Source organism: Homo sapiens, chromosome 18 (genome assembly GCF_000001405.40).
Source record: "Homo sapiens chromosome 18, GRCh38.p14 Primary Assembly".
NCBI lineage: Eukaryota > Metazoa > Chordata > Mammalia > Primates > Hominidae > Homo > Homo sapiens.
This window is the reverse complement of record NC_000018.10, coordinates 49,908,068-49,935,245: the sequence shown is the minus strand read 5'-3', so window position 1 is coordinate 49,935,245 and position 27,178 is coordinate 49,908,068. Positions and strand designations below refer to the sequence as shown.

Sequence of the window (27,178 nt, the reverse complement as noted above, 5' to 3'; positions counted from 1 at the left end):
CACCATACAGCATGGTTTAACCCTTGATTCTTCCGTCTCCTTCACTTCCCAGTGTCTAACTGACGTCAAAGTCCCATGAAGTCTCCATGCACGTTCCTCACCCTGGTCTCCCTTTTCTCTTCCTTATTCACCTTGTTCCAGATCCTCTTTTCTTGCCTGAAATACTACCTTAAACCTTTAAAAAACATCCTCTCACTCAGCTCTGCAGTCTCTTCTGCTCTGGGCCTTCACGCATGCTGTTCCCTCTGGCCAGAGGAGGTGTATTTTTAAATTTTTTAAGCACCTTATTCCCATCTTTCCTTCCCCATGATTTCTGTTTCGGGCCTAGTATAATTTCTTTCTGTGAAATAACTTACTTTGACAATTTTGACTCTCAGACTGAATATCTGAACTGCCTTCTACACTCTGGTCATGTAATAAAGCTTGGCTTCCATTCAGATGGGCTCTGTGTGGAAAAGGTTAAGGAGACAGAATGTTACCAGTTTTCTTTGCAGTGTGCTGCTTGCTTGCTCTTCCCTTCCTCCAAATCTCTGAGACATGCTTAGGAATTCCCCCTGGGTGGCTTCTGTTTACCAGCTGACTCCAGAAGAGAAGAGGCTGTTAGAAGCGTAGTGTGTGTGAAAGACTCAGATTCTGTGTGAAGGGCAGAGTGCTGTGCAGGGCCCAGGGGAGAGGAGATGAGGGCTCTATACCAGCTGGGCCAGACCAGCTGTGGCCTTGGGCCTTTCCCTCATCAGAGCGTGTCCCTGCTGTGGGACAGATACTCTGCTGGGTCTCCCCTCTCAAAGGAGAGAAGACACTGGGGACTTTCTAGTCCTGAGGTCCCACTTTTCTAAGACACTGCCTTATCTTCAGAACCAAAATCTTCCTCCCAATACAAAGAAAAGGTGGGAGGAATACTGACCATGTCATGATACCGGGATTCTAGTTTGAGCTCACTGCTGATTTGGCCAGTCGCAAGCTAGTCTTTTGCTCTCTGTGTCTAGTTTGAGCTCACTGCTGATTTGGCCAGTCGCAAGCTAGTCTTTTGCTCTCTGTGTCTCATTTCCTTACCTGTTAATTCTGATGAGGGCCTGGTGTGGTGGCTCATGCCTGTAATGGCAGTGCTTTGAGAGGCCAAGGCAGGAGGATCACTTGAGGCAAGGAGTTTGAGAGCGGCCTGGGAAATATAGCGAGACCCAACCTCTACAAAAAATTTTAAAATTAGCTGGGCATGGTGGTGCATGCCTATAGTCCCAGCTACTCCAGAGGCTGAGGTGGGAGAATTGCTTGAGCCCAGGAGTTTGAGGCTGCAGTGAGCTGTGATTGTGTCACTGCACTCCAGCCTGGATGACAGAGGAAGACTATCTCTCAAAAAAATAAAAATAAGTATCCTGATGAAAGAATCTGAATAGGAATTATTCATGAGAGTATAAAAATTTATGTGATTACAGTTATTAGTTACATCATCCTAGAAGGAAGTTTCTGTGTCTCTCCACCCATTTCCTGTAATCGGAGTTGCTCAGCCTCAGCAGCACTGACATATTGAGTCAGAGAATTCTTTGCTGGGGCAAGGGGTGCTGTCCTGTGCATCATAGGATGTTGAGAAGCATCCTTGGCCTCTACCCACTAGATGCTACAAGCATCCCATCATTGTGACAGCTAAAAATGTTTTTAGACATTGCCAAATGTTCTCTTGGGGACAAAATTGCCTCCAGTTGAGAACTCCTGTCCCACATTAAATGCTTTGATAGCATGACCTATACAAAAGGCTTTTTCCTCTGCTTTCTTCATTTAAGAAACATCTATCATACCTCTTACTAGGCACTGGGCTAGGACAGGTAGAATGACAATAAGACATGTCCCCTATGCTTAAGGAATTGTCTGTCACAAGTAACTGGCAATGCCACAGAAGTGGCTGTCGGTGGCTCTGTGAAAGTGCTGACAGGGCAGAGGCAAGAGAGAGATGAAGTATCCAGAGCAGCAGTGGCCTGGGGCGGTTGTCATAACCTGGGAACGCTTTGTGGAGGACCTGGTCACTGGTTTTCCGAAGGCCAGCCCAGGTCTCGGAGTCTCAGAGTTCTGAGATGTGACTGCAGGATGCTGCTGAGCCTGGGGAAGCAGGTAGGGAGCTTGCAGCCCATGGAGAAATCAATTCCATGGCGGGCAATTGTGGAGGTAGGGCTCGGTTCTAACACAGTGGGATCCTCTCTTTGCATCCAGCAGGCTCCAGGGTCTGCTAATCCTATTGGGAGAGGAAAGCATGAACTTCAGTTTCAGCACTGTGACCTTCTATGTCTTTGGTGATTTTTCTATGTTAATTGTCCTTGCTATGGTCCTCCAAGATTTAATAGAAGGAGGGCTGGTTTTCCATTCCTAGTCACCTAATAGTGAAAGCAGTGAGGCGGATTGAGAGATGCATTTGACGGTGGGTTTTCTTTACTGTTGGGGAGAGGAAGTACAGAAGGCCAGCTGGCCTCCCATATCCCCTTGGGATATGTGAACAGGGAAAGATGATGGCAATATCTTCTTTGTATAGTGTCTCTTAGCTTTTTCTAAAAGCATTCTTCTTGTTTTTTTGTTTGTTTGTTTGTTTGTTTTTGTAACATAGTCATTACAGCCACCACTGCTTTATAGTTGGGCAGATATGTTGAGCTCTCATTGAGTAAATGAGGAAAATGAGGTACAGAGAGACTGTGTCTTGCCCAAAGTAACACTACCTGTTAGTGGCAGAGCGGAGGCCACACTGAGTTCTTTGCCCCAGACCACAGGGGAAAGCAGTGTTGCCATCACAGGAGGACAGAACAGGTGTGGCAAAGGGAGGGGATTTGCTGAGCTGGTCACGAAGAGGGAACAATGTTAAGGCTGAGTTCAAAAACTCTGTGCCAGGTGCCTTCTGGGGACCAGCTCCAGGCACGCTGTGTGGAGACTCTAAGAGAAAACCGATGTCCCCAACCCTGCCCTCAAAAACTCATGCTGTGCTGTGTGAGGGGAGGGGACCAGCACCAAGTGAGCCATTGCCTGGCCCTTCAACAGGACCGAACTGGGATGCCAGAGGTCAGGAAGCATGATGTGGGGATACCAGAACAGAGAGGGAGGGGACAGATGGGGAGGAGGAGCAGTACTTTTAAGGAATGACGGGGTTCTCAATGAGCTTCTGCTCATTTTATTAGTACCATGAGGAAACAGTAGGAGGTCCTGGAAGAAGAAGGGACCTCCAGCTGGTCCCATAGCCCATGTGGGACCTAAGGGTCCCAGATGCTCCTGAACACGCTGCCATCCCTGGTGTGTGCAATGGGCTGAACTTGACCCTGTGGTCATGCTGAGCAGAGGAAAGAAGCCGGTGGCTGGCTTGGGGAACACAGCTGCTGTGGGCAGGGGCAGAGTGCCTGGGGAGGTGGTCTGCAGGCCACAGGATGCCTTTTCCAAAGCACAGGGGTGTCCGCTCTGCCTTCATGCTGCAGGGCCTGGCTGACAGCTTTAGCAGTGAGAGCCTGTGAGCAGGGGAGCCCGCAGCCCGAAGGCTTCTGATCACTCGCAGTCATGGGCAGCCGAGCAGCTGCTTATGACTGGTCATTGCCGCCCCTGGTAATGAAGACCCCCTTGGATCCTGGAACTGTGCTTCCTCTTGTGGCCGAGCAACCACAGGAGGCATTGGAGTGAGAGGGTGAGCAGGCAGTGAGGTGCTCAGCACATACTCCCTGCTGTCCTGTAAGGCCCTCGCACTAAGGGGCTTTTACTCTAGTTAGAAAGATGAAGTCTTCTGAAGGAAATGTTTTGTTCAGAGCTGTGTAAATCAGTGTTCCGTTGTGCCTCACATGCTCAGTGCCGTGGGCTGTTGGAGCTGGAGGAGTCGGGAAGATTTTATGGAGAAGATGGGTGTGGAAAGAAGGTGGGGCTTGGGAGGGCAGAGGGGAGCAATGAAGCCACAGTGAGCACAGCCTGGAGGGGAGAGTGTGGGTGTCTCATGGGATGAGACCCAGGGCTGATGTGCAACGTGGAGTGTTGCCTGGGTTGAGGTGGCATCTTGCAGTCATCAGTTGCTTGGCAAATGCCCACTGTTTTCCAGTGCCAAGTACCCACTGAGCCCAGGCAGCTCCAGGGCACCATCTATCAAGCACCATGTCCCAGAGTGAAAGGAGGAAAAGAAGCATGACTCTTAGCTCCAGCTGAGCTGCAGGACAGTCAGAAGGAAAGGGAGCATTTGTTCCTCGTCCCTTCTGATGGAGTGGGGCAGTAATCTTAGCAAATTAAAAATAGTGATTAATTCTAGGTTGCCTTAATTCTTTCTCTATGAAGACTCCCTGCTTACTCTAGACAATGGTGATGTCTTGCTCTCTGCCTTCTTTTTTTTTTCTTACTAGTGTTTTTTTTTGAGACAGAGTCTCACTCTGTCACCCAGGCTGCAGTGCAGTGGCACGATCTCAGCTCACTGCAACCTCTGCCTCCCGGATTCATGCCATTCTTCTGCCTCAGCCTCCCGAGTAGCTGGGACTACAGGCACCCACCACCACGCCCAGCTAATTTTTTATATTTTTAGTAGAGATGGGGTTTCACCGTGTTAGCCAGGATGGTCTCGATCTCCTGACCTTGTGATCCACCCACCTCGGCCTCCCAAAGTACTGGGATTACAGGCATGAGGCACCGCATCCAGCCCTTCTTATTAGTTTTTATGATTTGTGTTTAACAACCTCAGACAATTGCTCTCTGGCTTCTTTTGGCATTTTCACCATGTTTGTTATGTACTGTCTTGTATAAAATTTCCTCTTCAAGCGGGGATACTCAGAAAGCTCACACAGCATCTGGCTTTTTATTCTACACTGCCATACTCAATATATGTTTAAAAACATACTGGGTTTTGAGTGCTAGCCTTAGCTTTGTAGGACATGTGAGTGGTTGAAAATGGTGCACATATCTCTGAAGACTGGAAAGTAATCTGTAATAATGTAAATGAAGTTCATCTACATGATTCTTAACTGAACAGCTGTTGTGATCATAGCTAACAGCATACACAACGTATGTGCCCTACGCAGTGCTAGGCATGGTTCCACCTGCTTTCAGGGACCATTACATTTAAGCTTCACACTAACCTGATAAAATAGGTACTGCTGTTTTCCCCCATTATATGGATGAGGGTACTGAGGCCCAAGGGGACATGAAGTGACTTGCCCCAAAGTAGACACCCAGCTGGTAAGTGACCATGTCATGATTGAAACCCAGATCTGCCTAGTCTGAAACTCATCCTTTTAATGCTTGAGCCAAATAATGGGGCTAAGCATATATGCTTGGGACAGTGAGTGAAGATGCATGCCCTTGTGGATAAAAACAGTAAGAGTAGGCTCTGGAGAGGAGCAGGAATGATGAGTCTTGGAGGGTGGGGAGGATTCGGGTGGGCAAAGAAGAAGGGTATCCCAGGTGATAATGAGAATGTGCACAAAAGCCTCAGGCACAGAACAGAAGATGCTGAGATGGCTCAGGTGCCTGCACATTGGTGTCTTTTAGTCTATGCCTAATCCCTGACTTGAGCTCAAGGGTAACTCAGTGGCTGTAACTCAGTGGCAGCAGGTACTTCACATGCTGCAGGAAAAGATTCTTTTTTGTTTCTTTTTTGCAAATGTGGCCACTCATCTCTTGTCTTGCTTTTTTTTTTTTTTTTCTCCTTTGGCAGCTTTGACCCAAAGAGAGCAGTGCAGCAACTCAGAGCCTGCGGGGTGTTGGAGACGATTCGAATCAGTGCAGCTGGCTACCCATCCAGGTAACTAACGTGCCCGCCAGCTGCCTCCTGGGGCTGCCCTAGAGCAGCCAGAGTTTGGTTCCCCAGGGAGCCCTCTGTGTACCGTCGGCCAGAAACAGATCCTTCAAAACGGTTCCCAAACATTGAGGCCCAAGCAGGATGCTGATGGAAATGAGACTCTCACATTAGCCTGAAAAATTGGGAAGGTTAGCAGTCACATCCTCTTGGCTGCTTTTCTCTAAAGTCCTTTTCAGATTTCAGATTTTTGGTGTTGGTCTAAGTGATGAGCTAGCTAGAGTTGCAAAGAGGATTTCCCCTTCTCTCAATTCCTACCTTGTCCCCTTTACCATTCCCCCACCCTTTCTAACAGAAGGAAAATATATGTATTTACCATCTTAACTACTTTTTAAATTTTTTCAGTAGGTTTTTTGGGGGAACAAGTGGTGTTTGGTTACATGAATAAGTTCTTCAGTGGTGATTTCTGAGATTTCGGTGCACCCATCACCCAAGCAGTATACACTGTACCTAATGTATAGTCTTTTATCCCTCACCATCACCCCCCTTTCCCCCAAGTCCTCAAAGTTCATTGTATCGTTCTTATGCCTTTGCGTCCTCATAGCTTAGCTCCCACTTATGAGTGAGAATGTACCATCTTTTGTTTTCCATTCCTGAGTTACTTCACTTAGAATAATGGTCTCTAACTCCATCCAGGTTGCTGTGAATGCCATTATTTTGTTCCTTTTTATGGCTGAGTAGTACTTCATATATACGTACCACATTTTCTTTATCCACTCATTGACTGGGCGTGTGGGCTGGTTCCATATTTTTGCAATTGCAAATTCTGCTACTATTAACATGCCTGTGCCAGTGTCTTTTTCATATAACGACTTCTTTTCCTCTGGGTAGATACCCAATAGTGGGAGTGCAGTGGCATGATCTGGGCTCACTGCAACCTCTGCCTCCTGTGTTCAAGAGATTCTTCTGCCTTAGTCTCCTGTGTAGCTGGGACTACAGGTGTGCACCACCACATCTGGCTAATTTTTGTATTTTTAGTAAAGATGGAGTTTTACCATGCTAGCCAGGCTAGCCTCAAACTCCTGACCTCAGGTGATCCACCTGCCTCAGCTTCCCAAAGTGCTAGGATGACAGGCGTGAGCCACCATGCCTGGCCCAAATGGTAGATCTACTCTTAGTTCTTTAAGGAATATCCACACTGTTTTCCATAGCAGTTGTTCTAGTTTACATTCCCACCAGCAGTGTAAAAACATTCCCTTTTCACCACATCCATGCCAACATCTATTTTTTGATTTTTCAGTTATGGCCATTCTTGCAGGAGTAAGGTGGTATCCCCTTGTGGTTTTGATTTGCATTTCCCTGATAATTAGTGATGTTGAGCATTTTTTCACATGTTTGTTGGCCATTTGTATATCTTCTTTTGGGAATTATTTTCTCATGTCCTTAGCCCACTTTTTGACGGGATGGTTTTTTTTCTGTGCTACTTTGAGTTCCTTGTAGATTCTGGACATTAGTCCTTTGTTGGATGTATAGATTGCAAAGATTTTCTCCCACTCCGTGGGTTGTCTGTTTACTCTGGTGATTATTTCTTTTGCTGTGCAGAAGTTTTTTAGTTTAAGTCCCGTCTACTTATCTTTGTTTTCATTGTGTTTGCTTTTGGGTTCTTGGTCATGAAGTCGTTGCCCAAGCCAATGTCTAGAAGGGTTTTCCCAATGTTACCTTCTAGAGTTTTTATGGTTTCAGGTCTTAGATTTAAGTCTTTGATCCATCTTGAGTTGATTTTTGTAGAGAGTAAGAGATGAGGATCCAGTTTCATTCTTCTACATGTGGCTAGCCAATTATCCCAGCCCCATTTATCGAATAGAGTGTCCTTTACCCACTTTTTGTTTTTGCTTTGTCAAAGATCAGTTGACTGTCAGTATTTGGTCTTATTTCTGGGTTCTCAGTTCTGTTCCATTGGTCTATACACCCGTTTTTATACCAATATCATGCTGTTTTGGTGACTGTGGCCTTACAGTACAGTTTGAAGTTGGGTAATGTATTGTGTCCAGATTTGGGTTTTGTTTTGTTTTGTTTTGTTTTTTTGTTTTTGCTAGTCTTGCTTTGGCAATGCAGGCTCTTTTTTGGTTCCATATGATTTTAGGATTTTTTTTTTTTTAGTTCTGTGAAGAAATATGGTAGTATTTTGATGGGAATTGCATTGAATTTGTAGATGGCTTTTGGCAGTATGGTCATTTTCACAATATTGATTCTACCCGTCCATGAGCATGGGATGTGTTTCCATTTGTTTGTGTCATCTATGATTTCTTTCAGCAATGTTTTGTTGTTTTCCTTGTAGAGGTCTTTCACCTCCTTGGTTACCATCTTAGCCACTTCTAAGTGTACAGTTTAGTGGTATTAAGTACATTCCTTATTTTGTGCTACCATCACCATCATCCATCTCTAGAACTCTTTTCATCTTGCAAAACTGAAACTGCGGCATTAACAATATTTCCCTATTCTCTCTCCCCCAGTCCCTAGCAGCCACCTTTCTACTTTCTGTAAATCTGGTGATCCCAGGAACCTCATATAATTGGATTAATACAGTATTTGTCCTTTTGTGAGTGGCTTATTTCAGTTAGTATACCTTCAAGCTTCATCCATGTTGAAGCGTGTGTCAAAACTTTCTTCCTTGTTAAGGCTGAGTAATATTCCATTGTGTGGTTATACCCCATTTTGCTTATCCATTCATTCCTCAATAGACTCCTTTAACTTTTGAATATAGAATGAAATCTGTGGTGGGAAAATAAAGTTTCTTTGAGTTAAAAAATAACTATCATGCTCTGATTTGCCTTGCGGATAAGCCACTGAACCAGTCCAGAGCTTGTTGGAGCTATGCCAACATTGGATCCCCTCTGGACACTTGCCTGAAATAGGGGTGAAGGGTGGCTGGTGACCCCACTAGCTCTTGTGAAATCACACTGCCTACCAGCATCATGTAGACCAAACATCTGCCATTAATTGGAGCTGAGCTGAACAGTGTAGCAGCCCAGAGCCTGTCCCACTGGGACCCTCTGTCCTAACAACTCGCTCATATCAGAAGGTGGAAGGAACCAGAAGTGGGAATGGAGGGATGTGATATGGGCCTCCCCTCCTCCCTGTCTTCTCTCCACCTGGCACTTTCCCACTGTAGTGGAGGAACCATTTCGTATGCAGTGATTAATTACCCATAAACAACTTAACCACAAACAATTCCTAAATGTTTGGCCTGAGAAGGAAGCTGCAGATGGAATTAGGAATTTACATTTGACCTGGAAAGTACAAGAGCTGTCAGTAATCTGCAACACCCGGGCAGCTTTTCAAAACCCAGCGGGTCCCAGCATTGTTCAGGATGAACTGCTCTAGCTAGGTTGAAGGCTGTTGTTATTTTCTTTTCAACCACATCTGTCCCTGCTTAGAAAAAAGGACAGAGAGTGTCCTGGGCCTGCCTCTCATTTTTTGACCTTAGGGTCTGAACACAAATAGCTAACAACTCTGTTAATGAGGTGGGCCAAGCTTGTCACCTCAGATGAAGGCCTGGCACTCCTTTTCCCAGTCTACCCTGCAGTCTCCTACATTGGCCTTTTGATGGAGGGGATGGGGCTCAGGCAATGGGTGCAGTAGTTCAGTTTTGAGTTCAAACCACTAGTCTGACAAATTAGACTGCCTTTCATTGCCTGCTTACAAGCCCAGGGTTCAGATCAGACATATCTTCATCCAATTTAAGAACTAGAAGAGGACCTTAGGGAGCTGCGGAGCTACTTGTTTTCAAACCATCTTCCACGGGCAGCTGGCTGCACTCCTGCTCCTGGCTGCACTCCTGCTTCTGGCTCTTGTATCTGCCAGTCTTCCAGGAGAGGACATACCTACAGAAAACATTTCCTTATCCACTGTTTCTCAGAACTGTGCACTGCAACCCATTTATGGGTTAGGATATCAATTCAATGGGTTGTGTCAATGAAAAGAGTCAAACTATAGAATATTTGAAGAGATTTCTTCTGAGCCAAATATGAATGACCATTGGCCCATGACGCAGCCCTCAGGAGATCCTTAGAACATGTGTCCAAGGTGGTCAGGCCACAACTTGGTTTGATACATTTTAGAGAGACATAAAACATCACTCAACACATGTAAGATATACAATGGTTTGGTTCAGACAAGTGGGACAACCGGAAGGCGGGAGCTTCCAGGTCACAGGCATATTCAAAGATTTTCTGATTGGCAATTGGTGGGGATATTATCAATAGAAAGGACTGTCTGGGTTATGATAAAGGGTGGTGGAGACCAGGGTTTTATCATGCAGATGAACTCTCCAGGTATCAGGCTTCAGAGAGAATAGATTATAAATGTTTCTTATCAGATATAGAGTCTGTTCTATTAGTAATTCCAAAGGGAGGAGGGTATAATGAGGCATGTGCAGCTCCCCATTCCCAGCATGGCCTGAACTAGTGTTTCAGGTTAACTTTGGAATGCCCCTGGCTGCAAGGAGGGATCCATTCAGATAGTTGGGGCTTTAGAATTTTATTTTTGTTTTACGGTTGTGACCAATATACTGTTTTTGTTTTTTTCATGAAATAACTTGGGGTGGAAAATGGGAGAGGGCAATTTGTGGGAGAAAGGACATTGTGGCATGGTCATAGTTCAGTGTTATCTATAGGGATGGGTGCATCAGGATGTAAAGCACATGTTTACAAGTGAGACACAGACAAGGAAGTGAGCTGGTTAAGATTACCAGCCTGGTTGGTGGTTGAGTTAGGCCTAGACCTGCCATTCCTCTGCCCCAAGTTATGCTGTTGCTGCTGCCAAGCATCTTACTGCTCGTGTGCAGGAAGTGTTACCATCCCAGCAAAGGTTTATCAGAGGAGGAAGGGGTGAAGCAGGATCCTAAGAGACTGCCCTCTGGGGCCAGCTCCAAACCTGAGACAGTGCAAAACTCCCTCCTCTTTCCAGCTTGTGGGAGTCCAGACTGCAGAGCTGTGGCCTGCCAGAAAGCTGAAAGAGCCTGGTAGTTGAATTCTTGGACTTTGGAGTCAGGCCTGGATTCAAGTATTGACTCCCACACTTCTTGGCTGGGTGATCTTGGAGAAGTAAATTAATCTCAATGAGCCTAGGTTTCCCTATCCTTAAAAAGAATGATCATACTCACTTGGTAGGTTGTTGTAAGGAATTAGATAATGTATCTAGAGTTCTCAGCCAGCACTGGACACTTGAGCATTTAGTAAGATATTTATTACTTATTGGGATATGAGCAAGAAGCTACCTCCCTATGGGTGTAACTATCTGGGTAGAATGTGTCTATCTCAGAACTTTCTGGTGGTATTTTTGTGAAATCCCAACATGTGCGGCCACCTGAAAAGAGCATTCTGAAATTCCCAGACCTCTTCAAGCAATTAGAAAGCTCAGTTTAAAAAACATGTAAAGAAGTCTGTCAAAACAGACTGGAGCTGAATGTCCCATGTTAAACTGTTGAGGATCACTGTACAAGAAACTGTGGGATTGCAGGTCCTCACAACCATCCTGTGCTGTACAGTGCAGAGGTCTGGAGGTGAGCAGAGAGACCCAAGGTGCTCATGGAGGACTTGTCAGGTAGGAGGTGTGAACATTAGGACCATGTCAAGCAGGGGAGAAGAAACAAGGGAAGCATGTGACAATGAGATATTCTAAGGCAGGTGGAACCTCTGGGACCCCCCTCAGTATATAAGGGGCCACCGATTTCACAAAGAACTTTTTAACAGAATGAATTGTTCAATAATAGAACAACAGACTACACAGGATGTTGCTTCAAGGGTTTCTCCTTGGAGAACGTTAGGGAGGAGCTAGAAGTCCATGGATCTGACGTGGTTAACCATAGACCATGCTCAGGCAGAGGTCTATACACATCTCTGCCACCTCTGATTCACTGGCTGAGCTAGCTTGAAGCCTCGCTGTGTGAAATCAGAGTGACAGTGTGTGTCGCCCACACTTCTACTGGTCTTGCTGTCTCCATGCAAAATGGTCGGTTTTAGAGGGGGAAGCCAGTGGGGAGAGGATTTTGCTTCTAGGGGCTCACATGGGTTCTATGTAGAATGAGAACAGTTTCTGGCCTTTGTGGTGTCCTTCTCTCCTGGGAATCTTTCTCTTCCACATCTCATCCTGCACCGAGCATCTAGCCCTGTGTTGCTTCCTGGGAGGGAATGAAAGATTCAAGTCATGGGCCCTGCCCAGCAGGGAAGTGATATGAGATTGAAACAGAACAACATATAACCAGATGCAAGGTTGTAGTGCAAGTGCAGGAGGAGCTGCAACTTCACTGAGGAGTTGAGACTTGAGCTGGACTTTGAAGGGTGTAGAGACTGCCTGCCAGGAAGCAACATGATGTCTGGTGCTAGGAGGCACAGTAAGTTGCAGAGGGCTTTTCTGGCCGCTCACTGCCCTGTTCCTACTGCTTACTCCCCTAGTTGTAGCATGCTGAGAGACCAGGTGTGATTTTGCCTCATCCAGGCAACCTCATTTTTAGCAGCTAAAAGAATGCATTTCCCCAAAGTCTTTAGACCCACGTGGAAAATGGATTCTCCTACTGTTCATTCCACCTTGCTGCGAATCCGAGCTGCCAGCAGAGTCAAGATGCCCACAACCCCTGGCCTCTTAAGGGGCAGCTGATAGCTGTCTTTTACTGCTATTCTGATTGTTTTGGACTTTTTTCTAGCAGATACTTACATGTGTATTTGTACCACTTCTTTTTGTAATTACAGGTATTGTGGAAATTGTAAGGAAGGAATGACTGTATTTCTGGTATCACAGGAACTGTTCTCTAATTCTGTGAATTAAATGTGTGGAATTAGATCTAGAATGCTGCCTTCCTTATCCTCCTGGCATTTGCCATCTTAGCAAGTTTTGCTAAAGGGTCAAAGAGAGGATTCCCTCCCCAAACTGCTATTTGAAATGTTAACTTTTGGAAAGAGGCACTGTGTTTTGTGTCACTTTTGTTAGTACTGTATTGAGCTGCAGTCGAATCATCCTCACCATTTAATCCAGAGCCTAATCCTTTTCCTCTCACCACAACCAAGCCACAGCATGTAGGATGGCATTTACTTTGAGGATGAGCGGTGAGAGGGCAGGAAGCTCTTATACCTGTAATATTTTGACTCAGCACCATTGCTTAATCTTTTCCATCTGCCAACCATGGTAACCATTTGGAGTGATGTCACTGATTAAAATAATAATGCTACCTAACTGCTTAATCCAGGAGATTGGTATATGCCTACTGTGTCTGGGGATAAAGCAAGTGAGGTTTAGTGGATACTGTCTGCCCAACAAGGTGTTAGCTACTGAAGGAAATATACAAGTGTAATGTGTGCTAGCTTCAGTGTGGAGTTGAGCAGTTATTTTGTTGATGTGACTTTAGGAGACCTTCATAGGACCAGAGGGACCTGAGTTGGGTGCTGGATAAATTGGGAGTTTTCTACAAAAATTCTGCTCTTTGGCTGCTGAAAACTCAACACAGCGAAGTGATTCAGCTCATATTAGCTTGTCAAGTAACCATACAACTTTGCACAGCTGTTTCCAAAAGAAACTTCAATGGCCCTCTTTGATTAAGGGAATTACAATTTATGCCATCTCCAACAGTTCCCGTGTGGAAGCAGCCAAAGTGAAGGAGATGGCAAAGGAAAAGAAAATGCGTCATCCCAGGACTGCAGAAGCCTGTGATGAATTATCCACAGGGCTGCTCCCAAGAGCCCGAGCAGAGGGCTTTTTCGGCAGAGTTCCTGCATCCAGCCTACCGATGCCCTGGAAGAGGAATTCTTACCCCCCTTCCCCAAATTAATAAAATCCACCAAGCCAGAGAGCAGGAATGCAGCATTGCAGGACAGCAGTAGCTGCCGGGTGTTCCCTCAGCCTGCCCTCGGGCTTCCCTATACCGGTCTATTTTTATCCTCCCTGAGAATTATGGCTCTCTGTGAGTCTGATTTAAAATGAAAATGTGTCACTCAATTTGAAATGCTGTGCAGCGGCTAAGAAATATGTCCATTGTTATGCACATAAAGCCCTGTGATAAATGCACTGCCCAGGAAGAGAGGCTTTTCCACCCGTCACCCAGCTCCTAGGTCTCGTGCCTGTGCAGTCATCTGTCTCCCTCTCCAGAGAGTCAGCAGCTTTGTGTCCTGGAGAAATTGTGAAGCAAATACTGCTTACCCCGAAAAGTGTGTGTGTGGTGGGGGGAATGTACAAATGTTGATATTATAAAAAAAAAAAAAAAAAAAAAACTCTGCTTGAACTTGAGTTCTCCTCCACATCCTCCCACCTTCACTTCATAAAAGTGGCACTTTCTGAAAAGACTTCCACTTCTTCCTCAACTTTCTTCTCCCCAGTCCTGTGAAGAGTAAATAGCATAAGATTGGAGAACTAAAGGGAAGCTTTAGAAGCGGCCTGCTTCCTCTCCCTATTTAATCATGGTTGAGTTTAAAACAGACGCACAGTTACTTCCCTTGCTATTAAACATCCCACAGAGGAAGAATAATAGAGAACTGATTTTGGAATGATATGAGTCATTATCTCAGGATCTCACAGCCTTTGGGTCTGGCTCTTTTGTGTGAGATCTGTCTTCGTTCCTTTGGACTGGAGCCTGACCCACGGGTTTTCACGCATGGCTGCACGTCAGTCATGGGGACATACTCAGCAGTCTCAGAAGCTGGGCCCCCTCAGACCTATTAAGTCAGAGCCTGAGACTGAGTCCTGAACATCTGCATTTTGACAAGTTTCCCCAGGTGATTTAAAAATGCATCCTGCCTTAAAATCATTACCCTGAAGGCATGTGTTGCCCCCTGGGTAAACTACAAGCCACTTCGTCACATCCAAGCAGTGATAGGATGGAGTGGGTTTTCCTGTGTCCTCACTTTGTGTCTCAGCTCCAACTCGGAGCCAGTGGGGAGGAATTGTGTTTCCTTCCCTCTGCAACAAAGTTCTGCAGGCTTCAGATCTAGGGCCACTAATGGGGCTGAGTCTGTGTTCCCCTAGGAGGCCCAGGACATAGTTGGGGGATAAAAGGAAAGGCAAACATGGAGTGTTTCTGATGGTGTGAGTGCTGGGTGAGCATGTGACAACCTTTGCACTGGAACCCCTCCGTGAGTTTCAGAGCTGAAAACTTGTATGTATTACTTTATAAAGGCCACCCACAAACCTCTTATGTTTTCATCATCTTTTCAAAATTTAGATATAATTTATCTACTATAAAATTCACCCCTTTAAAGTATGCAATTTCAGTTATTTTCATTATATACAGAGTTATACAACCATCACCACTGTCTAATTTCAGAATGTTTTTATCACCCCAAAAGGAAACCCTGTGTCCATTAATAGTCCCCACTCCCAGCCCCTGGCAAGCGCTAACCTACTTTCTATTTCTATAGATTTGCCTAGTTTGGATTTTTCATATAAATGGAATCACATAATATGTGTCCTTTTGTGTCTGGCTCTTTTCACTCAGGGCTGTTTTCAAGATGTATCCATGCGCAGCAACCGTCAGTAGTTTATTCCTTTATATTGCTGAATATTATTTCATCAGATAGATACAGCACATTTTATATTATCTGTTCATCAGTGGATGGATGTTTGGTTGTTTCTACTTTTGGGGAAGTAAGAATGCTGCTATGAACACTTGTGTACATGTTTTTGTGTAGACACATTTTTTCTCTTGAGGGTATACCTTGGAGTGGAATTGTTGTGTCATATGGTAACACTCTCCTCTTCTGAGGACCTTCCATATTGTTTTCCACAGTAGCTGTACCATTTTGCATTCTTACCAGCAGCGTACATGAGGGTTCCCGTTTCTATGCATTCTCATCAACATTTGTTCTTGTCTGTCCTTTTCATTATAGCTATTCTGGTGGGTGTGAAGAGGTATCTTGTGATTTTGATTGGCGTTTTCCTGATGACTAATGATGTTGAGCATCTTTCATGTGCTTGGCCATTTGTACATCTTCTTTGGAGAAATGTCTGTTGATCTCCTTTGCCCATTTTTTTTATTGGATTACTTGTCTTCTTGTTGAGTTATAGGAGTTATAGGAGTTCTTTATATATTAAGAATATGAGAACCTTATAAGACATACGACTTGCAAATATTTTCTTCCATTCTGTGAACCATCTTTTCACTTCCTTAGTAGTGTTCTTTGAAGCACAAAAGCTTTTAATTTTGAAGAAATCTGTTTATTTCTTTGGTTGTGCATTAGGTGTCATTGCATTAGGTTGTGCATTGCCTAACCCAAGGTCACAAAGACTAACTAACATCTGTGTTTTCTTCCAAGAGTTTTACTGTTTTAGGACTTTGATCCATTTTGAGTGAGTTTACATGTAAGAGCCCAGTCTCATTCTTTTGTATGCATTTATCCATTTGTCCCAGGACCATTTGTTGAAAGGATCACATTGACCATTGAGGAAGGCAAGGTAGACAGTGACAATTTCATTTAAGGGATAAAGAAATATACCCGAGAAAAGTTAAGTAATCAGGTCAAGTCCTCCAGATAGAAAAGGGTAGAGCCACCATACCGCATGTCCACAGGTTAAGGATGCCTGTTCCTGTGAGCCTTTGAGAAGGTGTCCCTCTCTTCTCTGATTCTGGCCTCTTATGTCCCTTTAGAAATTTTGTCCATCCCTAGTACACTTCCAAGGGAAACTCTTGTATCCAGAATCATCTATTTCTCTGCTGATTTGTTCCTTCAAAAAGGAAAAGAAGTGTATGTTGCTTGGTGGCATAATGAAGATGATCCATGTCTCAATATCCAGAGACAGCCTGTTGGTCCTGGTAGGTATGCCTCACAGCATGGCCAAACAATTCTGCCCCACAAATTGCTGCTGGTTTCCATGTGAGACCTTGTAGGGAACAAAGTCCCACTGAGGCTCATAGGTTCCTGTAAGGCTCTTTAACTAGAAAAGAAGCATATACCTCTTGCATTCCACCTCCATGTGACCAGGAATCCTCCAGCTAGGTTGCATGATGGTATAATGGAGTACCTGAAAGGATGGGTTGACCCACCTAATTCTGACCGGAAGAGCTCTGAGGGATTCTTTACCATTTTCTAAGGGAACCTTAGGTTACCCATCAGGACATCTTTAGGGATTCTTTTTGTGGACTGATGTCATAGAATTTGTGTGACTTAGGGCCTTATGCCGTGGTCTTACTGGAGGGACTCTAGGGTTTGTCTGATCCAGCCAGTCCCCTCATGAGGAAACATGCCCGAGGGAGAAGAAGCACAAAGTGCTGTAACTCTGCAGCTCCATACCATCTGTCCATATTGGTCCATTGGGGCCCTTGCAAGCAGGCATGTTGTTCTGCAGAATATTTGCACGTGCAGATGGTTAAACCCGGTGTTAGGCTCTGTATGGGACCTCCGTTAGCCAAACAACATCCCAAAGCTACTGCGCTTCCTGCACCATTCTTAGCAGCCGTGTTACCACTCCCTGCCTTGAGCCTGAGGAGCTCATTACAAGGAAACATCTTTCCAGACTGGTGGGTTCTGCTGAATGCCTGTCCTGGCCCATCCCATATTGGCCTTTGTTACTGTCTCTGATCTCTCCCTCTTCCTACCAGGAAGCAGTCACGGGTCCTGAGCTTCTCCCATACACCCAGTTGTGACTCCTTGACCCTGTCAGGGCGCCTGCTCCCCAGCAAGCTAGAGGCACTCCAGGTGAAGAAGCCCTTGATTCTGGAGGAAGCACACCACTGAAGTCCAGAATGCTCAGCCAGGCCCCTGACAAGCAAGTCAGAATCCAGGGAGAGCAGGGCTGAGTAAGAATTACATTCCTGGAGTCACTAGACTTGGGATGAGGGCTCTTCTCCCACCATTAATGTGGAATGGAATGGAAGAGAAGCCAAGCCAGGATTGGGTGATTAGGTTAAAAGACGCCTCCTGGCCAGTGAACCAGAGTCACACCGAGTGGGGAAAGGCGTCTCGATGGCCATCTAATGAGGATGGGGGTCGTGCTGTGGAGGTGATGGAAGTCGAGAAGGTGTCCTGTTCTTCTGGAGTAAACGTTTACAAACCATGGTCTGGAGTAAACGTTTTACAAACATTTGGGAGCATTTTTGATGTCTCAGTGAATGGGGTCGGGGATAATGATCCAAAGATGCTGCATGGTGTTAGGACTGTCCCACACCCAACGGTGCTGCCCCAAAGCCAGTAGCACCCTCTGTGAGAAACACTGGTAGGAAAGGTTTAACGTGTTGAATGGTCAGGAGAATACCCATTTTTAAAACTGTAATTGGCAACTGAGTATAAGGACACCATGACAATAGGTGCTGTAAGGGTTAAACGTGGATCAGAGACAGACTTGAAGGAGGTGCAAGTCTTGCAGAGGAGCTACCCCTGCATGAACATATCCACAACACGAGGTGGAATGCTCTCTGTCCCACAGTGGACTCGGAAATAGCTAAAATGCTGTGAGAGGGGGAGATTCCGTCATGGCAGCCTCAAGAAACCCTGGACAGCCTGTGGTCTTCATGAGTGGGCTGTTCCAGCTTTAGGTGATTGCAGTGAACACACACCCAAAGGTCCCCACCAAATCAGAAAGCCCCTTTAAAAAGTTCTATTTTTGGAAAAAGAATCACAAATTCTCTTGAGCTTCACTTTGAAGATTTTCCTCTTAAAGGTGAGGGAGCCTTTCTTGGGAGAGTTTTATCTCTGAGGGTTTGTTTTCTCACAGAAATCCACCGAAAGGAGAATTCACATTTGATGCTGGGTCCTTCGGGGAGCGACATCTTTACAGCCCTTTTCCCAGACCCCATAGTGGGTACTGAACTCTCTTGGTCCCTCCTGAGGGTGTCCCCACCCTCACGGCCACGAAGCGATGGTGGTGCTTCTCAGTGGACGGTTTGCCTTCACACAGGAGCTGGCATCTCCTCTCCCCTCAGCCTCTCTGCACACCCTGTCTGTGGTACAGCTGTGTGTGAAGGACACCTTTGTGAGAAAAGGGGAAGGGAGTGGCTTAGGCAGGAAACAAGAGAATTCCGGTCTTTGGAAGCTTTGGAGCTCTCCATACGCCCCATCTCCTGAACTCCCTGGCTACTAAAGCCCTGTGGTGCTTGTATGAGGTGGGTGATGTTCTCTCCACTGTACAGGTAGCGGAGGGGCGGCATCCAGGCTGGGACTGGCCCCAGTCGCACTGCCGGCCGGCATCAGAGCCAGGCTTCTGTCCTCCTGTTCTCCAGGTTCATCCTGTACTGGCCTTGATGTCTTTGCAGCCACAGCTCCTCACTCTAGTAATTTCCTTGAGTATGGATCTGTCAGCAGTAAGAGGTTTTCAAATTAGAAGCATTTAAGGTTTTTAGCCCAGCTAAATGATGCTTCAATTATTTCCCCAGTGAAATTGCAAACTCTTAAGGAGAACTAAAGCAAGTGTGTATGCAAATAACCATGGTGTATAATGTGGGCAGTGCCCTCAGACACACGGAAGGAAAGGGCAGGGCAGCTTTAAAGGGGGAGCCCGCACCTGAGCGGGTGGGTCAGCAAAGCCGAAAGAGTCAAAGATGGATGGTGAGCACAGGGACCAAGGGGACTCGGACTCTGTGAGGCCCTTTTTCATATGGTTTCTTCCACCTGATTCTTACCCAAATCCATCTTACCCCAAGATAAGTGTCTATATTTAAAACTTGGGGGCCGAGACAGGAAGAGCCTGGGAGAAATTCAGCCATGCTGGCGTGTGTTAAAACACACATCTGATGGGCAGTTTGTCAGCTCTGGCTCTCTCTTCCCCAGGGTTCCGGCATTAAGTTGTTCAAGTATGGGTCAGGGCTTAGGAGTGTTCTGAATATTTATTGTACATGATCAAATAATTAAAACAATATGTAGCTAGGCAAATAACCTTAAATGTTTCCATTGTTAAAGCCTCCTGTCAGAGATAATCAGCAACTCAATGGGTTTGGTTCACAGTCTTTCCACTACTAGAGGGACAGGAAATAGTTTCTGCTCGGTGAGTAAAGGGCAAAGGGCAGAGCAACCCTTTCCCAGGCCATAAGACAGAGGCCTCGGTGCTCTAAGCGCCCTGCGCCCTTCCTTCTGAAGGGAATCCACATGGACCTGATGAGCAGGGCCTTGTAAAGACTCATGAGCTCTGAGCTGAATACGGGCTCTTGTTCCCTTGTGCCACTACGTGCGTGACACATGGGACCAATTAAAGAGGGAATGGGCATAGAGACAAAGTAGGTTAGTAGTTGCCAGGATCTGTGAAGAGGGGAGAATAGGGCAGAATAGGGTGTGATAGTTGCACAACTTCGCAAATATACTAACAATTATTGTACACTCTAAAGGGGTATATTTTACATTATGTGAGTTATAGCTCAAACTTAATTTTATAACGGTAAGGAGCCATTTTACATAGAGGAAAAAAAAAGGAAAAGGGAGAGATGTCATTTTGGTATTTGCTCTTATACTCACCCCTTCTCTGAGACCCATGGCTGTGTTAGACATCTTCCACCAGACCAGGAAAAGCGTTTGCAAAGGAGCAATGAGGAGGGGGAAAGACAAGGAGCTCAGCCTCCATTTTCCTTCTCATCCCAGGCTGCTGGGAGGAACAAGTCCTCCTAGGAACCCAAGGGCCGCAATGCTGGAAGATCTGGAGCTCTAAGAGAACCTGCTCCAGAGCACGGTGTGCCCGTACTGCCCACCATGCTGCAGCTGAATCCAAAGCTGTATGTGATACTCCACAGCACTCGTTTCTTTTTCTTTCTTTCTTTTCTTTTTTTTTTTTTTTTTTGAGACAAGGTCTCTGTTACTCAGGCTGGAGTGCAGTGGCATGATCTCGGCTCACTGCAGCCTCCACCTCCTGGTTTCAAGTGATTCTCCTGCCTCAGCCTCCTGAGTAGCTGGTACTACAGGCATCCACCACCATGCCCAGCTAATTTTTGTACTTTTAGTAGAGACAGGGTTTCACTATGTTGGCCAGGCTGGTCTTGAACTCCTGACCTCAAGTGATCCACCCGCCTCAGTCTCCCAAAGTGCTGGGATTACAGGTGTGAGCCACCACACCTGGCCAGACTTTTACCTTGTTTCTTTGGACAACATTTTTAAAGGGCCCTCTTAAAAGGCAGAAGTGCTCCAGGAGAAGGGATACAATCCACTTACTCTCTTTTAATATCTCGAAATGAGTGAGTTTACCTGAGTATGAGACGGGAGAGTTCCCTGGCCCCCCATCACAGGGTGTGCTATGGGGGTGTGGCTCTCTGTTTGCTGCTGTAAGCTCAAACCCCTTATGGAATGGGGAGCAGGCAGAAGGGCAGGTGCAGGAACCGGCACAAGCCCTTTTGGGCTCTAGCCCCACAGCAGCATCTAGGGGTGGGAGCCTGCGACTCCTGAAGCCCCAGTGTCACAGTGTGGTTTTAGCTCTGCCGTCGGTGGATGGCTTAAGTGTTAACCAGCTCAGTGCCCACTTGGTACCCAGGCCCTTGTACAGGGTCCTGGAAGAATCAGGTCACACATGGACCTGAAGGATGGTTGCTGGGGGGTGGTTATTGAGTGGTGGAGGTGGCTCTTAGCGGGATGGATGGGGAGCTGGAAGCAGGGGTTAGAGTGGGAAGATGATCTTCCCCTGGAGTTTGGCCATCCAGTGGCCAAACTTCTCTCCCACCACCCCCAGGTGAACTCCTCTCAGTGTTCAGATGCTCTTTCTCTTCTCTCTTTCTGTCGTGCTGTTCTGCCACTGATCTGCTTGTCTCTTTGTCTCCTTGTCTGCCTTTGGAGCCTGGGGTTTGGAGTTTATATGGGTATAGGATAGGGGGTGTGGTGGGCCAAAAGGCAACTTTTTGGTTGCAAAAACAGGAATGCCCATCCTCATTTAGGGCCATGGGTATCCAGGCTTGAGGGTAGGGCCTTTGCCAGGGAACTGTCCTCTTCTGTCCAGTATTTCCCTGTCTCCTGTCCATATCAGGTAGTTGGACAGTCACATAAATTACTTCCACGTGAGGGGTATGGACAGCACATGCCTCGGAAGATGAGAGTGGGTGGGGGGCTGCCTGTACACCTCCACTGAGGACACAGAGAAAGTGGGGATAGGCTGGACTGACTTTCAGAGGGATGTAGAGTGAAAATTCAAAGTCTCCTTAGAGTAGGGATTGTGCTGAGTCACTACATGACTATATGAAGAAGTTGTTGAATACCTCCCAAAAATTGAAAGAAAAATCAGTTTCAGGAGAATGAGCATATGTATGAATCGAGACCACCTTAATGAGAAAGGGACAGACCCTACCTGGAAATAGCAGATTTGCTCATTGGAAAGACTGCATTTGTTTAAGTAGAGATCATTTCAGAGGCCAAGGGGAAAACTTAAGGCTTTCTTTAAAGATTCCCCTCCCACACAGACCAAAACAGCACTCACCTACATAGGTAGGGGTGTTGTAAATGCTCTTAATTATGTGAATTGCTGGACATTTTCTTTACAGTGGGCCTGTATTACTCTAATAATCAGAAGAAAAAAATCATAAGCAAAATCTACTTTGGGGAGAAAAATGGTTCCTTCTATACTGATTAAAACATAAACCATGTTATCTCTCCAGGGGTTAGGATACGGCCACTTGTTATTTGTTAATGTACATATTTCTGCATTTAAAAAGCTGTTTACAATGAGCAGTATTCTATAAGAAAACCAACATTTGAAAATAAAGCTGTGCTCTAGGTAAGGCTCCTGCTTCTGAGGAGTGGAGCACTGCATGCTTGGGCAATATATTAGACTGTTCTCATGCTGCTAATAAAGACATAATCGAGACTGGGTAATTTATAAAGAAAAGGAGCTTTAATGGACTCACAGTTCCACATGGCTGGGGAGGACTCACAGTCATGGCGGAAGACAAAGGAGGAGCAAAGGAACATCTTACATGGCGGCAGGCAAGAGAATGAGAACCAAGTGAAAAGGGAAACCCCTTGTAAAACCACCAGATCTCATGAGACTTATTCACTACCACCAGAACAGTATGGGGGAAACCACACCCATGATTCAGTTATCTCCCACTGGGTACCTCCCTCGACATGTGAGAATTATGGGAGGTACAATTCACGATGAGATTTGGGTGGGGACACAGCCAAACCATATCAGGCATAAACTTCCTGTTTAGTCCTCTAAGAAGTACCTTCAAAACTCACCTTTTTTCCAGCCCTCCAGCCACAATTCCAAGAATCACATTCACAGTGAAATTCTTGGAGGGCACTGGGGAGGACAAAACTCCCCTGGGACTGTTCTTTGCTGCTCTGAGAATGACTTTGTGCCACAGTGTTGACCCCATAGGGAACTGTCTGAGGTCACGCCTGGCTTTTGTGTGGCCAAGAGGCAGGATGTGTCACCTGATGCCCCTTTGCTTTCCCTCCAGGTGGGCCTACCATGACTTTTTCAACCGGTATCGGGTGCTGGTCAAGAAGAGAGAGCTCGCCAACACAGACAAAAAGGCCATCTGCAGGTCTGTCCTGGAGAACCTCATCAAGGTGAGCCACACAGCCCAGCTCCAGGAGAGGCCTGACCAGGTCCCCTAAAGATTGAGGGGGTGGCGTCGTTATCTACATTTTTTTTTTGGTCTTCATCCTTCTTACTGAATCTATTTCTGGGATATTAATCCATTTTCCTACATCAGTGACTAGAAAAAAAAGCAACCCATTCTCCTTATCTAGAGCACTTCCCAACCTTTTTTACAGCTCAGCAGGCATAGAAAATGGAATTCTGTGGCAGCGCTCCTCTCGAGGGCACCAGCTGCAGGGAGTCTGTCCCTTGCAGACCCCTGACCCAGCAATGGATGAATAAAGTATACTGACACACAGATATTCTGCTCTGCCAGTTCAGCTGAGGGTCTGAGCCACTTACAGGCTCCCTGCTGAGTCCTGTAAACAGTTGTGACTGGGCCCTGATCAGACTTGCATTTATTCAGTAAGATTAGTTAACAAAAGCTTGAGTCAACACCACTAGAGGATAATTGACATTGTGGACTTCCCAAGTAAAAACGCACTTACACAACCGTGGTACATCAAAGGTTAGTCTTAAGATTATATGAGTAAACAAGCTATCTAGGTAAACTACTCTGCCTTTCTTTATTACTATTTTCATTTGTTTATCTAGAGGTAAAGGGATCAGGCCACCTTCAGCCAGATCTGTTACCAAAGTTATGCAAACTTCTAGGCCTTCCAAGAAGATTTGTTTCTATAACTATCTCTAACATTTTTCCCACCAGCCTGACTGAACTCCAGCAGAATTCTTTGTACAGCTTGCTTGGGTTTATGATGAGGCTACTGCTAACTGCAAGCTGCCGGCTCAGGATCTCTGGCTTCTCTAGTTCTCAGGGGCTACATAGCACGGCCCATCTGGTACACCTGGGTAAGGGCTCTGATGTGGAGCCCAGGCCTAGCCCTGAAGCCAGCAGAGGGGAAGGTAGCTGCTGCATCTAGCTGGTTGCATCACCAGCCTCAGGCCCTCCCCCAGATACTTGTTTTAAGTAAGGCAATAGATTTTATGTTTTAATTGAAACAATTTGAACTCACACCTGACAGCTGAGACTGGAGAACTATAGAAGCGGAGCTATTGGGGCCTTTTGTGAGGGGCAAATCCTTAAACATTTCCATGGTGCCAGACATTTTGGGGATTACAGCAGAGTATGATCATTAATGGCTCGATAAAGGTTAAATTATATCAAAAATCACTTGAACAAGGTAATAAAAATAATTACCTCAGAAATTTTAATTTTTCAGGTTTTCTGTTCGGAAAATCTATCCATCTGGAGTAGCTCATTGCCAGATGATCAGGATCTAAGGTCATGTTTTATTTTGTAAATGTGTCGCAGCCATCTTCCCAGCATCATCTTAGCTGCTCAAGTCTAGCTATAGACACTGCAGAATATTATAGTAAATGTATGCATAGCTTTAAATTTGCCTTTTTAAAAAGAGAGCCTAAATACTAGCCCACCTTGCCATGCCATCTTTTTTTTTTTTTTAAACAGGGTAAGGGGGTAACAGGCTGGTTAATCAAGGGCTATAGTTAGCTGGACTCCAGTTGATTGAGGTTTTTGCTGTGGTCCACCTATCAGTGTCCACATTTTAACATCTTACTTTTTATGGACAAGAAAAATCTCTGTTAAAGGTCAGCTGATTTCAGGGCCTGCAAGTAGCCCACTCTGCCATGTGGCTGCCTTCTCATTTGTCTAGGATCATAGTTTCCCTCTTCTGTTCCTTCGCTGGATTTCTCCAGGATTACCACCAAGACCTCTGATTCCCAAAGAGGGAACTCTGGAGGGGACCCGGATCAGACTGGCTGAGTCGGCCCCCACACTGGGCTCTCCTCCAGTTAATGGGACCACATGCCACTGCCTGGGGCTGCTGCTGTGATGTGCTCAGGACACTGGGCCTTTCCTGGCACAGCTGCCTCTTCTCTTCACTGACGGGGAGCCTGCCTGCTTCTCAGTGCTCGGCTTCAGTGCAGCTTCTCCCTCCTGCTTCCCATGGTCTAGCATGTGGCACTTCATGTCACTCTTAGAGCCCATAGCATGCTGACCTATGTTCCAGATGTGTTTGTCCTTTTTCGTAGAGGACAGTGTCTTTATGTTTACACCACCTCCTTAGTTATGAGTGCTGAGCCTAATACGCAGGGGGAGCCTACCTAATATTTATGGAACAAATGAAAAAACAAGTGACTTGCCTAAAGAAAAAGTATAGGAATACATGCTGTTTCCTCTGCCTGCAATGCTTTTTCCCCTCTTTTGCCTGCCTGACAAAGTGGTATTCTTCCAAACTGAGCTCTGAAATACCTCCTAGCCTCCCAGATGTTGTTAGCTACTCCATCTTCTATGGGCCAGCAGCACTCACCTCCTCCCTTCCTTTATTGTGTTCATCCCCTTATGTTGTAATTGAGGGCTTGTCATTTCACCAGACTGTGAACACATAAATGACAAGGGTCCTGTTGTGGCTGTGTTCCTAGCACAATTCCTGGTTGTCACAGGAATACATGAGTTGGTGCAGCTGGCTGGGGAACTAGCCAAGAGCTGCTCATGACTAGAAACCTGCCAGTAATGGCTCATCCTATGAGGAATATACAGAAATCACCCTCATTTTACAGATGAGGAAACTGAGGCACAGAAAGCTGATATAAATTGCCCAAGGTTGCCTAGGTGGACTGATTCTAACTCCCGCTGTCTAAACTACATTGCCCTCTGATCCAGTCTGATTGAGTAATGTCACTGAGTGCAGTTATCCTTCCTGGAGACTGAATAGAGACACTAATGCTAAAGATTTCCCTGGGGTCTTCTATTTCCTCCTTTTTATTTTTCTCCTCTTCTTGGGCCACATCTGGACACCCATACTTCTCATGCTGAGTGACCTGGGACTTTGTATCGAGAAACTAAGACTTGACAGAGCTGCGTGTTAACTTAGAGGGGCACATGCCAGTTCCCCACCCTGTCCCAAGCAAGTTCTAAGTACGTTTTAGAACAGAACGATGAGAAGTGGGGACAAAGGTGGCCTGCAGGGCAGGCACCAGGCACTTAAAGACCACCTTCCTGGAGGGGCAGCCTGGGGCTGGGGGCTGCTTCGTTAGGCTGTCAGTGAGGTTTTAATAAATTGTTGTGGTTGTTTAGGGGAGAAAAGTGGATTCTGGTGGCCTCTCCCCTGCAAGGATTTTAGGAATAGCCCCTATCATTCTTAACCTGAATTTGTTTATTCTTTAACTCCACAGATACATACTGAATTCTTTGTACTCTAATCTGGAGGGGTTAGTGTGAGGGTTATAAAAAGAGTGCATTACATGGACCCTACTCTCCAGAATTAATAATAGTCTAATGTAACGATGGCCATAACTGTAGAGGACCACATCACGGAGACTGGCTGTCGTGCAAGCCTGAATCTTCATCACAGTGGCGAAGGAGTGTATTAACAAACATCTGCAGGGAGCCAACGGAGCACAAGGATGTGTGTGAGCACTGTGTAGAGGAGACAGTGTCACGAAAGGGGATGCTGCAGTTGGAGACTTGGGGCCTGGGAGACCCAGATCTGGGGTTATCCTTTGATATTTGCTCAAGTCACCTTGAGCAAGTCACTTCACTACTCTAGGCTTCAGTTTTATCATCTGTGAAGTAAAAGGAGTGGCTTGGAATGGATTGCTAAGTTTGCTTTCAGCCCCTGCAGTCTGACTCTTGGAGAAAGGTTCTCAAAAGATGATTGATCGACTGATCAGTCAACAGTCAGTTCTAAGGGTTAGAGGAAGCAGATCTGGGTGGGAGATGTTCTGGAGACACACAGGGTGAGGACAGTATGGAGATGAGGCTGATGGGTGTCTCAGTGGAGCAGGTGAGACCCTCAGAGAAATCCTTGTTCAGAAAAAGTGGCCTTGCAGAGCATATCATCCCTTCCTGTTTTTTTTCCGAAATAGGGAATGAAGCGCAGGTACTGTTGTTGCTTGGATGCGGTAGACAGCCCCCAGCCTCTGGCTCTGCTTAAGCTGGAG

At 46.0% G+C, this 27,178-nt stretch overlaps 1 protein-coding gene across 1 annotated transcript in view; it reads left to right on the top strand.

Annotated features, from left to right (window-relative positions):
* Positions 1–27,178, top strand: part of MYO5B (myosin VB) — a 372,359-nt gene that overhangs the window by 259,902 nt on the left and 85,279 nt on the right. Inside the window, exons 17-18 of the mRNA NM_001080467.3 lie at positions 5,648–5,734; positions 23,073–23,184. Coding sequence (NP_001073936.1) covers positions 5,648–5,734; positions 23,073–23,184 — 199 coding nt within the window. The remainder of the gene's footprint in view (positions 1–5,647; positions 5,735–23,072; positions 23,185–27,178) is intronic.